The sequence below is a fragment of the Homo sapiens genome, chromosome 12 (assembly GCF_000001405.40).
Source record: "Homo sapiens chromosome 12, GRCh38.p14 Primary Assembly".
NCBI lineage: Eukaryota > Metazoa > Chordata > Mammalia > Primates > Hominidae > Homo > Homo sapiens.
In genome coordinates, this window is record NC_000012.12 from 62,551,455 (window position 1) to 62,569,798 (window position 18,344).

General features: G+C 35.5%; 1 protein-coding gene across 15 annotated transcripts in view; it reads left to right on the top strand.

The window, feature by feature from the left end:
- Positions 1-18,344, top strand: part of MON2 (MON2 regulator of endosome-to-Golgi trafficking) — a 133,651-nt gene that overhangs the window by 84,629 nt on the left and 30,678 nt on the right. For 11 of the 15 annotated variants that reach the window (XM_017019045.2, XM_047428542.1, XM_017019043.2 and 8 more), the window contains 6 exons: positions 1,427-1,720; positions 4,540-4,738; positions 9,037-9,659; positions 13,783-13,926; positions 14,560-14,577; positions 14,868-14,996. In XM_017019045.2, the coding sequence (XP_016874534.1) occupies positions 1,427-1,720; positions 4,540-4,738; positions 9,037-9,659; positions 13,783-13,926; positions 14,560-14,577; positions 14,868-14,996 (1,407 nt within the window). The remainder of the gene's footprint in view (positions 1-1,426; positions 1,721-4,539; positions 4,739-9,036; positions 9,660-13,782; positions 13,927-14,559; positions 14,578-14,867; positions 14,997-18,344) is intronic. The other 4 variants (XM_017019042.2, NM_001278470.2, NM_001278471.2 and 1 more) reach the window with 1 other exon arrangement.

Sequence of the window (18,344 nt, forward strand, 5' to 3'; positions counted from 1 at the left end):
CAAAATAGTTGCAATAGTCACATCAAAGATCACGGATCATAGATCACCATAACAGACATAGTAATAATTAAAAAGTTTGAAATATTACAAGTATTACTAAAATGTGGCACAGAGACACAAAGTGATCACATGCTGCTGGAAAAAAACGGTACCAACAGACTTGTTCAATGCAGGGTTGCCACAAACCTTTATAAATTGCAATTTATAAAAATTACAATTATCTGTGAAGCACAACAAAGAGAAGTGCAATAAAACAAGGCATCTCTGTAATGAAATCTTAGAGAATTGTTAACATTACATGAAATAAACATGCACAGAATTGTTTTCAACATATATTTTAAGGCAATTATTTAGAATCTTTTAAATGTATATTAAAACTCAGAAGTTTTATAAATTTGAACTTTAAATTTTCCTCACAAGCTAGATAAGTTACTACATTCATCTCTTCCTACGTTCAGCTCTTAATATTTGTGGCTTCTGCATCTGTAGATTCAACCAACTATAAATAGAAAATTTTTTTTTAAAACAAGATAGTTGTATCTGTACTGAACATGTACAGGCTTTCTTGTCAATATTACCTAAATACAGTATAACTAGTTACATAGCATTTACCTTATGTTAGGTATTAAAAGTTACCTAGTATTATTCAAAGTATACAGGAGGATGTGTGTAGATTATATTCAAATACTACACCATTTTATATAACAGACTTGAGGATTTGTGGATTTGGGTATGCAGTGGGAGGTCCTGAAACCAATCCCCCACGGATACCGAGGGACAACTGTATTTTACTATTACTATTATTTTTCCCATTTTTACATGGGAAAAAATGTAAGCATGTTGCATATATGATTGCAAGTGGGTGGCTAGTGCAACATTGCTTAAATTACTGCTGGATAGCACCTCCTTTATTTTACATTTATGTTCACAGTACTGGATTCTCTACATTTTAACCATTGGCATAATTATCATTAATATAAGATATGTTTGGAAACAGTAATTGCTCGTGTATGAAATTACAAACTTATTAAACAATATTAAGGAATTGTTAACATTGTTAGGGTGATAATGATATTATAGTTTTTTTTTATAGTTAACAGTTGTTATATTTAGGTGGTAGATACATCAATATGTTCAAGTTCCTTATACTATTCTTGGTTTTTTGTATGTTCTTGACATTTTTTATAATAAAAAAGTAAAAAAAAAAAAGTTAGCTCAAGATTGTTTCCCCACTTTCTCCTGAAATAATGTAGAGACACTGACAGAAGAAGAGATGTTTTCATTGAATCTATTCTACTAGGAAAGAGATTTTTGAAGTAATGTTTTTAAAGTTTTACTCTGAAAGGTAAAACAGCCACATGTTGCATATTTATGTGTTTAAAACAAAACCTTGGATGAACTAATATTTTTCTACTTTGCTTTTTAGTGGAATATTTCAGATTATTTTTTCCAAAGAGGGGAAACTATTGAAAAAGAACTAAATAAGGAAGAGGCAGCACAGCAAAAGCAGGCAGAAGAGAAAGGAGTTGTTTTAAATCGGCCATTCCACCCTGCACCGCCATTTGATTGCTTGTGGTTATGTCTTTATGCAAAATTGGGTGAACTATGTGTGGATCCCCGTCCTGCTGTCAGGAAGAGTGCAGGGCAAACTCTGTTTTCTACAATTGGTGCGCATGGAACTTTATTACAGCATTCAACCTGGCACACTGTTATCTGGAAGGTATTGTAAAATAGATTGGACTATCAGCTTTTAATGAGTCATGCTTATATATTAATACTTTTTCAGTTAAACTTATTTCTTTTAATTTTTAAAGAATTTCCATGCATTTGTGTATTTGACAAAACAGGAAATAACTGTGTCATATTGTAAATTGTACCTCATAAAGAGCAAATTAAATATTAACAGCCTTATCTCTGTTTCTGTCTTCATCTCTTATTATTATATCTCTCGTGATTTCTGCCTTTGCCTTTCTGTCTCCTTTTTTTCCCCCAGTTTTCCCAAATGGTAAAAACCAGGAGTTACTAAACAACAAAGGGTAATCAATCCCTTACCATAGAGTAGAAAGCTTTTGGGGTTTTTGTTTGTTTTACTTTTGAGGTCTACTTATAGATATGTAATTTAAATATAATCAAAAGAGAATTTTATTAACAGATGAATATCAATAGCAATGAAGTTTATTTGTAGACTCACCAAACAAAAGTAACCTCCAAATGGTATATTGTACATGTAATGTTTATTCATTAAATTACAATTTCATTTTTTTCTTCTTTTGAAACTTTCTAATAAAATCAGCAGTTTATTAGTGATCATTCCCTCTTTGCTAAAAGTCTCATCTTTTTTGTTCCATCTGTTCCATTATAATAAAATTCTGTTTATAATCCTTTCACTTGCTTTTGTGAGTTTTTCAAATTAATAGACCCCAAAATGTCTTCTTAAAAAATTAATGGGCTGGGCATGGTGACTGACACCTGTAATCCCAGTACTTTAGGAGGCTGAGGCAGCAGGATCACCTGAGGTCAGGGGTTCAAGACCAACCTGGCCAATATGGTGAAACCCCATATCTATTATAGTAAAAGCCCTCTTTCCTTCTGTCTTGTATTTCAGTTCCATCCCATAGTTCCTCCTCAGATCACAAACATGCTTAATTCTCCCATACAGTTTGTTTTTAATCTAATACTTTTCTGATTCTAATTTTCCTTTCAAGCAACTTCATTTTTTATCTTCTTGCTGCCTAATTCTTAATGATTTTTTTCTCACACACCTTGCATTGTCTTATTTTCTGTAATTGATTTCCAGACTATTCTACTTCAGTCTCTTAAACATTAGAGAATAACAGAATCACCTTAAAGACTTGTTAAAGCACAGATTTTTGAGCCACTATTGTCAGCCCTCCCTGAACTTGAGTTTCTGATTATTTTGGCCTGGAGTGAGTCCTGAGAATTTGAATTTCTATCAAGTTCCTGGGTGAAGCTTGATGCTGCTGGTTAGTTCAGAGACCACACTTTGAGAAACACAGAAATTATTCATAGGCTACAGTTGGTCTTTTTTTGTGAGTGAAAGATAGGGTCTTGCTCTGTCACCCAGGCTTGAGTGCAGCGGCCTGATCGTAGCACACTACAGCCTTGACCTGCCAGGCTCAAGCGATCCTCCCACCTCAGCCTCTTGAGTAGCTAGGACTGTAGGCTCACACTACCAAGCCCAGCTAATTTTTAAAATTTTTTTTGTAGAGATAGTCTCACCATATTGCCCCGGCTGTTCTCAAACTCTAGGCTTCAAGCAATCATCCCCACTTTATGGCCTTCCAAAGCACTGGGATTACAGGTGTGAGCCATCTCCAGTAATTCTACTTTTGTCCTGGACCCCTCTCCTTACCTTTGTGTGTGTGTGTTTTTGTTTTGTCGTGATCTCTGCTCACTGCAAGCTCCGCCTTCCAGATTCACACCATTCTCCTGCCTCAGCCTCCCGAGTAGCTGGGACTACACGCGCCCGCCACCACACCCGGCTAATTTTTTTTGTATTTTTAGTAGAGACAGGGTTTCACTGTGTTAGCCAGGATGGTCTCGATCTCCTGACCTCGTGATCCGCCCGCCTCGGCCTCCCAAAGTGCTGGGATTACAGGCATGAGCCACTGCGCCTGGCCAGCTTTGTTCTTTTCTTATACATTAACCCATAAATTCTCCATTGATGCCTCAACAAGTCTTATATTTTATCCATTTAATTTAATTTAATTTTTTTTTTGAGACAGGATCTCACTCTGTTGCCCAGGATGGCATGCAGTGGCATGATCACAGCTCACTGCAGCCTCAACCTCTCCTGGGGGCTCAGGTGATCCTCCCACCTCAGCCTCCCAAGTAGCTGGGACTACAGATGTATAACACCACATTTAGCTAATTTTGGGTTTTTTTTTTGGTAGGGACTGGGTTTCGCCATGTTGCCCAGGCTGGTCTTGAACTCCTGGGCTCAAGCAATCTGCCCACCTTGGCTTCCCAAAGTGCCAGGATTACAGATGTGAGCCATTGTGCCCAACCTTATTTTTTTATATTCCATGATAAACTTAAGAATGTATAATTATGGCCAGGCACAGTGGCCCACGCCTGTAATCCCAACACTTTGGGAGGTCGAGGCGGGCAGTTCACCTCAGGTCAGAAGTTCGAGACCAGCCTGGCCAACATGATGAAACCCCATCTCTACTAAAAATACAAAAATTAGCTGGTGTGGTGGTGGACACCTGTAATCCCAGCTACTCAGGAGTCTGAGGCAGGAGAATCACTTGGACCTGGGAGGCAGAGGTTGCAGTGAGGCGAGATTGTGCCATTGCACTCCAGCCTGGATGATAGAGTGAGACTCCATCTAAAAAAAAAAAAAAAAAAAGAATGTATAATTACTCTATTGGTCAGTTTCCTCCAATATATAGGGATTGATAAGACTGTCAAGTATATTTTTTGTAACAATTTGTAGATTCTTATGCTGTTGCTCCTATGCTATTACTTAAGCTATATTATCAATGCATTTTAAATGACATTTTAATAAATATTTAGGTACTCTTTCATCTACTGGACAGAGTTCGAGAGTCCTCTACCACTGCAGACAAAGAAAAGATTGAGTCTGGAGGTGGCAATATTCTCATTCATCATTCAAGGGACACCGCCGAGAAGCAATGGGCTGAGACGTGGGTATTAACATTGGCTGGAGTAGCAAGGATCTTCAACACTAGAAGATATTTGCTGCAGCCTTTAGGTATACGTACATTTTTTTCTGATTATACAAGTAATTAATGTTAAAAGAAATTTGGAAAATACAGACGATTCTTTTAGAGTCTATCTTAACTTAGTCTTTATGTGTGGTGTGTGTGTAAGCATCTGTGTTTTCATTCGTTTGTACCTACTGTGGGCTAGCCTCTAGAGGATACAATGAAAGGCAAAATACACGTCATTCTTGCTATCATGGGCATGAGGAAGTACCCATAATTACATAAATAAAGGCGAAATTTCTACAATGATGTGTTACAAGGAGTGGTACTTTGTGAGCTTCGGTAAGTATTTGACCTGGCCAGTGAATTCCAGATGGACTTTCCTGAGAAAGCAATAGTTTTCCTGAGATCTGTAGGGTAAGTAGGAGTTCATCAGGCAAGAGTAAGACGAAGTGTGGAGAGCCTTATAGTCAATGAGAGAATGTAAAAGAGACAGGAGAAGATTGAGGAAAAGAGATGGTGGATGCTAGCATGTTTAAAGGTCTAGAATGAGGAGAATAAGAAAGAGTTTGATTATCAAAGAGATTGAGAGGTAGTGAAAGGCCAGATCATCCAGATCATGTAGAATGTGTTAGGAGAAAGTTAGGAGGCTGGGCATGGTGGCTCATGCCTATAATCTCAACACTTCGGAAGGCTGAGGCAACAGGATAGCTTGAGCCCAGGAGTTTGAAACCAGCCTGAGAAATATAATGAGATCTCATCTCTACAAAAATTTTTTTAAAATAAAAAATCATCCAAATGTGGTGGTGCACACCTGCAATCCCAGCTACTTGGGAGGCTGAGTTGCAAGGCTTGCTTGAGCCTGGGATGTGGAGGTTGCTGCAGTTAGCCAAGATCGTGCCACTGCACTCAAGTCTGCGTGACAGAGTGAGACCCTGTCTCGAAAAAAAAAAAAGGATTTCATCCTAAGAGCAATGAAAAAAACTACTGATAGATTTTAATTCATGATTTGACATGATCAAATATGCACTTCAAAAAGATCACAAAGTGCATGTCTTAGTGTATATGTAGAATGGAATGGCAACAAGGAAGGATGACAGGATGTTGTTGGACTGGTTAGGAAGCTGTTGGTTGTGTATATCAGTGGTTCTCAAACAGGGCCTATTATACTCCCATAAGACATTTGGCAATTTTGGAGACATTTTTAGTTGTCATAACTGGGGAAGGTTGAGCATTACTGCTATCTGGGGAGGGTAGAGGCAAGGGTTGATGCTACACATCTTACAATGCAGCCTCCTATAACAAAGAATTATACAACCAGAAATGTCAATGGACTAAGACTGAGAAACCTGGTTGCCGATTATACTACTTTCAATTCTGGTGGTAATGCTGGTGGTGGTAGAAAAAGGTGAACAGAGATACTTTTGTACATAGTTATGAGCATGTTGTACATATTATCTATTTTATTATTTCGTGTTTGGCATTTTTTAAACTAATTTATGTTAAAGCACAAGCATATTTACTCATTCCATAAGCATTTTTGTATATTGTTCTTTATGTGCACTTTTTTCTCCTTTTTTCCAAAAACTATTTATGGTGTCTGATCCATTTAGCATGTTAGGGCTTGGTATATGTATTTTTAAATATTGGGATTTTTTCATATAAAATTTACGTACAGTGAAATGCACAAATTTTCACTGTACATTTGCTAAGTTTTGACAAAATGAGCATCATTTTTAGTACCTTCATGATATTTCTCTTAAAAGCTGAGAACGAATAGATTTATATATATATATATATATATATATATATATATATTTTTTTTTTTTTTTTTTTTTTTTTTTTTGAGATGGAGTCTCGTTCTTGTTGCCCAGGCTGGAGTGCAATGGCACGATCTTGGCTCACCCCAACCTCTGCCTCCCAGGTTCAAGCGATTCTCCTGCCTCAGCCTCCTGAGTAGCAGGGATTACAGACAGGCATGCGCCACCATGCCCGGCTAATTTTGTATTTTTAGTAGAAACGGGATTTCTTCATGTTGGTCAGGCTAGTCTCAAACTCCTGACTTCAGGTGATCTGCCTGCCTCAGCCTCCCAAAGTGCTGGGATTACAGGCGTGAGCCATCACGCCCAGCCTAGATTTAGATTTTTTTTAAATGAAGACATAAGACAGTTAATGTCTTTGATAATTTTTTATAACTTTAAGAAATGATATTTGTTATTTTAGAATAAGTTTTATATTTTTAACATAACCACGTGCAATATATAATTATATCTACTCTTTTAAAGGGACCCCTTCTCTGACATAAAATATGTTAATAGAGAAATTGCAGGAGTTTTTCTCCCTAAATGGCACGGGATATTCTAAATCTGATATTAGGTCACCATTCTGATTGGCAAATATAGTGATTCATGAGACTTTTAAACTTTGATGGCAACAGGTAGAAGTGTTTTAATTGTTTGACATTTTAAAATGTAATTTGTCAAAACTCTTTTAAACAGTTTACTTAAAATTCTGTGTTTTTATTGTATGTAAATTATACCTCAATTTTTTTTTTTTTTTTTGAGATGGAGTTTTGGAGTTTCACTCTTGTTGCCCAGGCTGGAGTGCAGTGGTGTGATCTCGGCTCACTGAAACCTCTGCCTCCTAGGTTCAAGCGATTCTCTTGCCTCGGCCTCTGAGTAGCTGGGATTACAGGTGCCCACCACCATGCCCAGCTAATTTTTTGTATTTTTAGTCGAGACAGGGTTTCATCATGTTGGCCAGGCTGGTCCCGAACTCCTGACCTCTGGTGATCCACCCGCCTTGGCCTTCCAAAGTGCAGGGATTACAGATGTGAGGCACTGGGCCCAGCCCTCAATTTTTAATAAAAAGAATATGGAGGGGAAAGATGCATATAACTAGGCAGGTGTTACAGTTTGTCCAGAGTAGGCAGATAGTACCTATTGTTTTATACCAGACCTACTTCAAGCTTTTCTATTAACCGACTGCTTTCCCAGGAATTTGGGGTTTATCCCTTTTTTAAAAAAATCTGGTCATTTATCAGCTTTCCAAAATGAAAGTCCTTAAACCTTGATTATTTATTTTACATGTTTCATAGCCTACTTATGTTGTACTGCTTTGGAAAATATCAACTTTCCTAATTTTTTACATCATTTTAATGTAGGTATGTGGATAATAATCCATGTTATTAACAAAGCCAGTAGGCTTGTTTGCTGTAGGGAAAAGATCTGGCTGGACATGGTGGCTCATGGCTGTAATCCCAGCCCTTTGGAAGACTGAGGCAGGAGGATTGCTTGAGCCCAGCATGGGCAACATGGTGAAACCCTATCTCTACAAAAAATACAAAAATTAGCCAAGTGTGGTGGTGTGCATCTGTAGTCCCAGCTACTCAGGAAGCTGAGGTAGGAGGATCGCTTGAGCCCAGGAGTTCAAGACCAGACTGGACAACATAGCAAGATCCCATCACTACAAAAAATAATTTAAAAATAAATTAGCCAGGCATGGTGGCATGTGCCTGTGATCCCAGCCACACTTGGGAGGCTGAGGTGGGAGAATCACTTGAGCTCAGTGAGCCATGATCATACCACATGACACTCTAGCCTGGGTAACAGAGTGTGATACCATCTCTTAAAAAAAAAAAAAGAAAAAAATTCTGCAGCTCTAAAATAATTTAAATATGAAAACTAAAGTATAAAGTTAAGATTTATGAATGTGACATAGTTTATCTTAAATATTTAGGCCAATAAAAAAACATGTATTATACTGTCCTAAGTTACGACTTTTCCAATGATTCTCTGGTTAAGAACGAGAACTTCTTACTTAATCATTAATAAAGGTGGGTAGACTGAAGATGTTACTGAAATGCTTTTGTTTCAACCTCGTTGATTTAATTTTCTGTTATCCTTTGGCAGAAGTTCTGGGAAATGGTATAAATATGTATAAGTACATACATATTTTGGGGTTTTTAATTTTTTTTATTTCAGTAGCTTTTGGGGTACAAGTGGTTATTGGTTACATGGATGAATTGTATAGTGGTGAAGTCTGAGATTTTAGTGCACTCGTCACCTACCTGAGTTTTGTTTTTAAGATTGAAACATTATTTGATATATCCATCATCCTCCTCTTGGTGCCCTTTGTTCCTATATCTGAAAAATTTTTTTACTGAATTTCTAGGTTGTGATAATTTTAATTCCCATTGTTAGTACCTTAGTACCTAGTCATATATTTTCCAGTTCTGTAGGATTTTAAGCAGAAAAATTAAGCAAATATGCTTTCAAGTGTCTAATATGAAGAGAAAATTTGATCGCTTTTATGATAATAGTTTTTTTTTCTCTTCCTAATATAGGAGATTTTTCAAGAGCTTGGGATGTTCTTCTTGACCATATACAGTCAGCAGCACTCAGCAAAAACAATGAAGTATCTCTGGCTGCTCTGAAAAGCTTCCAGGAAATTTTACAGATTGTGTCCCCTGTCAGAGACTCAGATAAGCCTGAGACACCACCTGTAGTTAATGTACCTGTGCCTGTTCTTATAGGGCCCATATCAGGCATGAGCAGGCCATTTGTAAGAACAGATTCCATTGGAGAAAAACTAGGAAGATATAGTAGCTCTGAGCCACCCATTGTTACTGATGAGCTTGAAGATTTGAATCTATGGTGGGCTGCGTGGAATACCTGGTATAGAATTGGATCTGAAAGTACTAAGCCTCCTATTACTTTTGATAAACTAACTTTTATTCCTAGCCAGCCTTTTCTTACAGCTTTAATTCAGATATTTCCAGCTCTCTACCAACACATAAAAACTGGTTTCAATATGGATGACTTGCAAAAGTTGGGAGTCATATTGCACAGTGCTATTTCAGTCCCAATAAGTTCAGATGCATCCCCTTTTATTCTTCCATCTTATACCGAAGCAGTTTTGACAAGTTTACAGGAAGCTGTACTTACAGCTTTAGATGTTCTCCAAAAGGTAATATAATTTTAGTGGCTAAGTAATACTGCATATAGTTCTCTGAAATTTTTTTTATTTTGCTATATATTTGCGGGGATAAATTTTAGATCATCAAGATTGTTTTATATGTATACTTTGGGATAAACTGAGGATTGTCAAGATCTAGGTATTTTGAAAACTTGTGGATTTCTGTTGCATTTTGAAAGGTAATTCATGTATGTTTTGAATCTTAAAGAAGCTGCCTGCATCCTAATGTTTCACTTCACCAGGATTTTTGGTTTGTCCACGCAAGTCTTCACAAGAGGATATAATATTTGGAATAAAAGTTTTAGTAAAGTACTTTTATAATTAGAAAATTAATAAGCAGTGGGATTATATTTTTTTAATCTGTGCTTAAATTTAGTTCTGAAATTATTGAAAGCCTATATTAAAAAAAGAAATTTATAAAAAGTATTTTTCCTCATGGTTTTTAAAGAGATTTATTTTTACTGTGTGTATTTTGTTATTGCAAAAAAAATACTATTCAGATAAACAGATCTAAAATTATGGAGCAAATTCAGATTAGCAAGCAAGGCTAGATCAAATTCAAAGTGTTTTTTAGACTAGCAAGAAAAATTGATAGCACAATTCACAGTCATCAAAATGCTAAGCTTTAAAAAAATGCCAACTGAGTAGCCAGCCATTCCAACAAAGTAAAAACATTCTAATAAGATTGGAGTAGATCTAGATTCTGATCACACATGTTATCAGTAACCATTTGTGTAGTGTAAATTAGATTTCTGATTAACTGCATCTTACCCAACTGGAATGATAAAAATTTTCACAGTAAGAATTTCTACTGTATGATGATACCTCTTAATTACCTCTGGAAGAAGTTTAGCTGAGCAGTAGTTCTTGAACTGTTGAACCCTAGTTGTGTTGTGCAGGAAAAAAGAATCTGGCATTTAAAAAAATTCAGTGTAGGGGTATTAGTTTTCTACAATTGAACTCAAAATACCCATCTTTATTTTCAATGGGGAAGAAAAGTAATTACCCACCCTGTCCATTGGACATGCAAATAAGTTGCTTATAGACTTCAGGGGATGGAAGAGTTATCCTATCAGAAAAGAAAATAAGACATAGGCCCTTTGAGATGCCCGTAATCTGGTACTCTGATTCAGATCTTTGATTCAGGTTTTTATATATGTGTACAGGATAAACAAGAAACTTTTTTTTTTTTTCAGAAAAAAATGTAAGTTTTATTTTTAAAAAACTCTGCTTTAGCAGTGAGAGGAAAAGTGGAATCATTTATCCCAACTACTAGTAATTTGTTCAGAGCTTTTAATAGCTTTGAAAACAGTCTGAAACTTTGGAAGGGTTATTGTTGTTAATTTATATTATTTTAAAATTATTATTAATGTTCACACTAGCCATTGTTGTGTTGTATGATTACCTAAATGATGTTTCATAGACCTTGAATGTGAGATTTTTAATGGGTTTCTAGTATCTCCTAACAGAAAAATGTATATTTTATTATCAGAGTGTTTTTATATTTTTTTCCACAGATGTAAGAAAATTTTTGCACAAGCCAAATTTACTTGCTTTTGGACTTTATCCTTAAACTAATAGTTATCGAGCAAAACACTTTATTGATAGAAAGCTATTTTCTTTCCTAAGAGATAAACTGATTTCTGATATCATGTTTTCTTTCTAAAGGGGAGCATTTATGTTGTTCTTCCTCAGTGCTTTTATATTGTTTAGGACTTCAAGTTCTCAGTCTTCTCTTTGTTCTCAAACCACCAGTTCCCAGCCAAGTTGACTTAGTTATATGTGCTAATTTATTTATTTATGTATTGCCAAGTTATTTTAGCATACATAGAGGAACTGGGAATTTAATTATCTGCTTTCTGTATGTGCTTTACTGTAAGTCCTGAAGTCAGGAAACTGCATCTGTCTTATTTTTTGCTAAACTTCTTAGTCAGATGGCTGGATACCATATCTGCATTAATCACCGGGGCTGCCGGAGTTGCACTCCAGGAGACAGCATCACATTGTATGTGAATGATGCCCTTGGAGTTGTGTAACAAAGCCCTGTCTTCTAAATAACATGGGCAAGTTTCTTAATCTTTCTATACTTCAGCCTCCTCATCTATAAAGTAAAAATAATAAGTCTACAACTTTTTGCTTGTTATGTGGGATATTTGTAAGGCACTTAGTGCCTGGCATGAGTTAAACATCCAGTAAATGTTAGCTGTTGTTATTTTCATCATCAAGTTCTCTAGCAAAGACCTTAGTACGTGCCAGGCACTGAAAAGATTATTATTAAATGAGTTAGTAAGTGAAACCTTAAACAATATAAGAAATCAGGTGTTCAATATTTTTTCTTGTCTTCAAATAGACAGCTTTCAAGGACTAATAGGAAATATTATCTAGATTGCTTATCAGTTCTTAGCTTTTGGACTAAAATTTGTTATCAGGTTTATTCTATAGATTTTTCTGATATTCAGACTTCAGAATACTGAAGAAAAGCCCATAAAAACTTTTTCTTAGATGGAGTTTGTTGTTAAAAAATTGTGGGTTCCAAATTATGCATTTTAAAGTCCCCAAATTGCTCTATATATCAACTATAACACTATTAGTATGTTTTCTTATCATAAAGGACCATTGAAAATCAAAATGCATAGTTAAGTCATTAATTTGTGTTAAGATTCTTACAAAGAAATTATAATACTTAGTTTTCTCAGGTACCCACATAGGTTTTTTGTTGTTGTTAGACATTGAAAATAAAACAATTCACTTAGAGTAATTCAGTCTCTTTTTCCACAGTAATTACTACTTGTTTACTTCTAAGAGTTAAGATCCAGCAAGAGGTTAATGAGGAAGAAAGTAGAACTATTACAAGCAGTCAGTAAAGAGAATTTTTAGAGTGTATAAATTTTACTATTCAAATTCTTCATTATTTCTGAGAAAAAAATATTGAGACATGGTATTAGATGTCTTTTTACTACTTTCTTACATTATAATTATAGGACAATCACACTTGGGTATGGGGAGCACTTGCATATCTACTTTATATCTCAGTGCAGTTTTATCTAAAAGTTCCGTTATAGCTAAATGGCTACATCTCCTCTGAGGGAAAATAAAACTAATGTGTTATCTAATAAGCTAAAAGCCATGGAGTGCATAAAATAAATTTTGTACATACTGTTTTTAAAGAAACTTTTTAAAAAAGTTAAATGGTTTGAATTTTGGTTTAAGATTTTAAGAGTACCTACCCTCTCAGGCATAAAGTGATCATCCTTTTTGTCTTATAAAGCACAAGTATATTTTAGACACTTCATAAATAATATCATTAAATGTTTTTCTCATGGAGAAAAATGAAGACTTAAACAAGAAAATACGAAAAGAAAAATTTGTGGCTAGAAAAAAAAACCCAATTTAAGTATTTTCAACACATTTGAAATAATTAAAATCTGCAGTATCATGATATGCATTTTATTCTTTCTTCCTATCAAATTATTTGAAGTAAGAAACCTAGAGAAACTAGTTACTATTTATTAAAATGTTTTCTTATATTAAAATATTTTATTTTAAATCAAATCGATATATTTAGATACATTTCACATTAAATATACACAGCCCTGTCAAAAATTAATCCATACATTTCTTTTAGAAACAAATTTTCGTAGATGACTTATTTTCCCAACTGTAACACACATGATTATTTGTTTAAGTTGGTGGACCAGGCATGGTGCAGAAATCAGATGTCATTTCAATGAACTGATATCACAGAATTTGAAGTCAGTGTCATCGTGGTCAGTCACACATTCTTAATGGCCTAATGGCTGTATTACTGAACAAATGATCAGATTGTAGAACCTGAGGACTGCCTGGGACTTCACTTTGTTGGCCCTTTTTCTATTCTTTTAAGAAATAAATCACACTGTAAAAAAGAACATTTTTTAGCTGATTAACAGTTTCAGCCTATACTTTATTCTATAACAGTTTAAAATAGTTTGTGTCCTTTAGGGCTCAGAAAAGATGGTATAATACATAAAATAAGACAGTTTTTAAGATTCTGTGGTTAAACAAATATATACACAGTAAAGAACTTAATGGAGTTCAGATTATGCATTCTAATGTTCTTATTTTGCTTTTATAGGCCATTTGTGTAGGACCAGAAAACATGCAGATAATGTATCCAGCTATATTTGACCAGTTGTTGGCATTTGTAGAATTTTCCTGTAAACCTCCACAGTATGGACAGCTGGAAACAAAGCACATTGCAAATGCAAAATATAATCAGGTAATTTACTGTAAATTTTATTTACTTTGTAAGATTTCATGGCTTATAAATACAGATAGTTCCACTTAAGATGGACTTTGATTATCTCGGAAAAGGATACTTTTCACTCACAAATATATTTATACATGTCTGTTAGCAGTTTAAGCTGAACAGAAATATTGTTTGGGAAACTAGTTCTGTGTTCTTTTTCTCCTCATTTATGACTTTCCTCTTCCAACTGATTCTTCAGAAAGTTTGGCCTTTCATATTACTCTCCAGTACATCTTTCTTGAAAAATATAAGTTCCTTTGTACCTCTTTCTTGGTTGCCCCATCCCAATACAAAACAGCTTCTAAATCCCTAAGTCTAATCTTACTTAAAACAGATACCTGCCATGCAAGATGAAGAAACTGTTTGTACTAAATAAGAAGTTGTACACTACTGGTGTGAAGTTTAGTTGGATTTTATATAAAATATTTTTATAGCCATAGTTGGCAAATTTTAACTTTGTTTAAGTAAATTTCTGAATGCATGCCCATGCTGATTTTGTTCACTCAACATAAAAATTATAATTTTATATCGTCCGAAAGTAGTTTAAATATGTATTAACTTTTCTCATTCTATTTGTCTTGCAACACAATGGAATCACAATAGATCCAACTATTTGCACCGGTGAGTTAAATTTCCTAAAATTGTCCTAACCTCTTGGCAACAAATAAAGTACATCTTTCCCGGTTCTTGGTAGAATGCTGTATGTGCTTTTTCCAATAGTTTTAATTTTTGCCTGGCTGAAAATTATTTTTTTCATGAAGTACATATCTCTTTGAAAACTTTGCATGTAATATAATCTGACCTAAAACCAAGGCCTGAACTTTAAGACAAAGATGCTTTCTCTTTGAAAACAATATGATTAATTTAATCTCAGTTTATTTTTAACTGCATGTGAAAATATTACTTTCTAGGCGGAATGGGTAGCCTTGAATTATGTGCCGTTTGCTGAAAGGTCTTTAGAAGTAGTTGTGGATTTATACCAAAAAACAGCGTGTCACAAAGCAGTGGTGAATGAGAAAGTGCTCCAGAATATTATTAAGGTATCTTTTTTTCATTTCTACACTTTCATTAGATGGTGTGAACATTATTGAAATTATTCCTTAGGTAATACATTATCATTATATTGGGATAAATAGAAAATACAATTTGTAGTATTATTTGTAATGACTTTTCTCCAATATTCATGAATTGTATTTAGCAAGCCATTTTTCTAAAAGTTCTTTTTAGTGAAAAATATTTTAACATAAATATGCATTAAATTTGTTACAGTTCTTAATGAGAACACATGGACACAGGAAGGGGAGCATCACACACCGGGGCCTGTTGTGGGGTGGGGGGAGGGGGAGGGATAGCATTAGGAGAGATACCTAATGTAAATGATGAGTTAATGGGTGCAGCACACCAACATGGCACATGTATACATATGTAACAAACCTGCATGTTGTGCACATGTACCCTAAAACTTAAAGTATAATTAAAAAAAATTTGTTACAGTTCTTACATTTTCCCACATAACCCAGTGAGGGGGTTTCTTAGGACAATATTCCTCAAGGTTCAAGATTGATGAGCATTCAGAGAGAAATTCACAATGCAGCCCATACACTTAACTGAACATGCATGCTGACTTTTTTAAAGCCACTTTTTTAGTATATGGACAGCCATTTAAAAGATTCTTGTTGATTGTGTTCCATTCCTCTAAGGCTTATTTCTTGTTTTTCCCTCTGTTTTGAAGGACTAGCCCTAAACCTTGTTCTTCCTCTAGCATGTGGATGTACCTTATATTGATTGTATAAATACCAGACCAACTTGAGCTGTCTTCTCTAAAGACTCATCTATCCCAACCTTTCTTCATTGGTGATTATTTTCATTTTTCTTTCAGCCATCTCATACAAGGATTCTTAAGCCTTGGATACTACAAGAATTTTCTCTCAACTGTACTTACTACTCAAATTGTCATCCTCTTTCAGCTTTCCTTTATTTCCATATCCCTTAAACAGTTTGTGGCCTTCACCTAGTCACCACTCACTCTTTGCCTGTTGTGTGTTGGCTTACGTCCATATTGCTCCACAGAAACTGCTTTCTTAAACTTACAAAAGACCAAATCTTCACATCCTCAGTCCTTCTCTAATGATTTATCTTCCCTATAGCATGGTACTGGCCTTCTGAAACCTGAGCCTTCTGAAAGCTCTTTCTTCCCTTGACTTTCACGATACTTTTCTCTCCTCACTGCTTACCTCACCAAAACTATCCTCTCACTTTATTTATTGAGCATATTTTTGAAGCATCTTTCTACAAGGTGCTAGCAATTTTAAAATGAATAAAATGATTCTTAGATTTAATAATTCAATATGGAGAATAAAGAAAGGCAAACAAGTAATACTACAGTATGTTAAGTGCTAGGTAAAGACCATAGTGGAGGCTTTGCATTCAGATAGCCTGACTTCGAATAGTCCACTGTTACTGGCTTACTGCTTTATGACTTTTGGCAAATAGACCTATCTGAGCATGTTTCTCGTCTTTAAAAGAAGGATAATACCAATACTACTTACATGTCTTACCTATAATGAGAGAATCCATTGAGATACAGCATTTAATGATGCTTGCCAAGTAGTCAGTGCTGAATAAAAATTGAGTTCCTCTGAAAGACAAAAAACTAAGTCAACTGCTGAGGGGATTTGGGCAAGAATTAATAGAGATGACACTTGAAAAAGTTAAGAGTTAGGTTAAAAAGGGGGAGGCAGGTATTATAGGTAAATTAAGCCGTGTTAAAGATCATGGTATATTTTTAAGAAATGTTGAGAAATTTAGTTCAGAACCTGGGATATGTCTGAAAACATAACTGTTGGTCTTCTAAGCCATCATAAGATCAGACTTTATTCTTTAACCATTGAAGGATTAAACACTACAAAGTAATATGAATCAGTTTGTGTATTTTTATTTTTTTTAGAGACAGAGTTTTATTCTGTCACCCAGGCAGGAGTGGAGTGGCATAATTATAGCTTATTGCGGCCTCAAGCTCCTGATCTCATGTGATCTTCCTGCCTCAGCCTCCCAAGTCGCTGGGACTACAGGTGGGCACCACCACCCCCAGCTGATTTTTAAATTTTTTATAGAGACTGGATCTTGCTTTGTTGCCCAGGCTGGTCTCAAACTCCTGGCCTCAGGCAGTCCTCTAACCTCCTTCTCCCAAAGCACTAGGATTGTAGGTGTGAGCCACTGTGCCTGGCCTCAGTTTATATATATGTATACATCTTTTTTCTTTTTTTTGAGACAGACTCTTGCTCTATTGCCTGGGCTGGAGTGCAGTGGCTCAGTCACTGCAGTCTCCACCTCCCGGGTTCAAGCAGTTCTCCTGCCTCAGCCCCCTGAGTAGCTGGGAATACAGGCACACACCACCACGCATGGCTAATTTTTGTATTTTTAGTAGAGACGGGGTTTCACCTTGTTGGCTAGGCAGGTTTTGAACTCTTGCCCTCAAGTGATCCGCTCACCTCAGCCTCCCAAAGTGCTGGGATTAAAGGCATGAAACACCATGCCGAGCCACTCAGTTTGTATTTTTAAAGGAGTTAAATGATCTCTTTTCTATAATCCCATTTCATTGATGCCACTTACCACATTGTTTTGTGGTTAATTGGACAAGGCTCTTTCTCCAAAATTGTGAACCTTGTGGTGACAGGCAATTACTGAGCACATACTGTATACCACTTCCTGTTTAGATGTGTAAACATTTTTAAAAATAAAATATATAAATTGAATGGATCTGCTATGCTTAATGTTTTTCTTGATTTTAATAAAATATCAATTGCAGTAGCAAACCATACTTTTCTTTTATCTTAGCTTGAGTTATAAAATGTAAACTCAAAATGGCCCTATATCACTTAGTATTCTTTTGGTTGCAAATGACATACACTCAGGCTCTGACTAGCTTTAACAATAAAGGGAACTTTTGGGCATGCTTAATTGGAAAATTCAAAGATAGAGGAAGGCCATTATGACTGGCTGATCCAGTGGTTCAGCAGTATCATCAAAAACCACATTTCTTTCTCCAGAAAGTTCTGCTAAGAATTGACCATATCGTTTCTCTTCATAGCTGTAGGCCAGTAACAAGATTATATGTCCAATAGGAAGAGAGAGAGGAAGAGAGAGAGTGTGTATGTTCCTGCATACACACATTCACACACTTCTATTCTTCTTCTTAAGTTCCTAAAATTAATTTTTAGTGGATCAACTTTGGTCCCATACCCACTCTTGAACCAATGATTATGGCCAGGGAAATTGATTGGATTCATTGGCTTAATCAACTCATCATCTCTTTGCCTGAATTCCCAAACTGGAAGTAGGGACAGTTCCTCCCAAAGCACATGGATTATATGGAGGTGGAAGGAGGG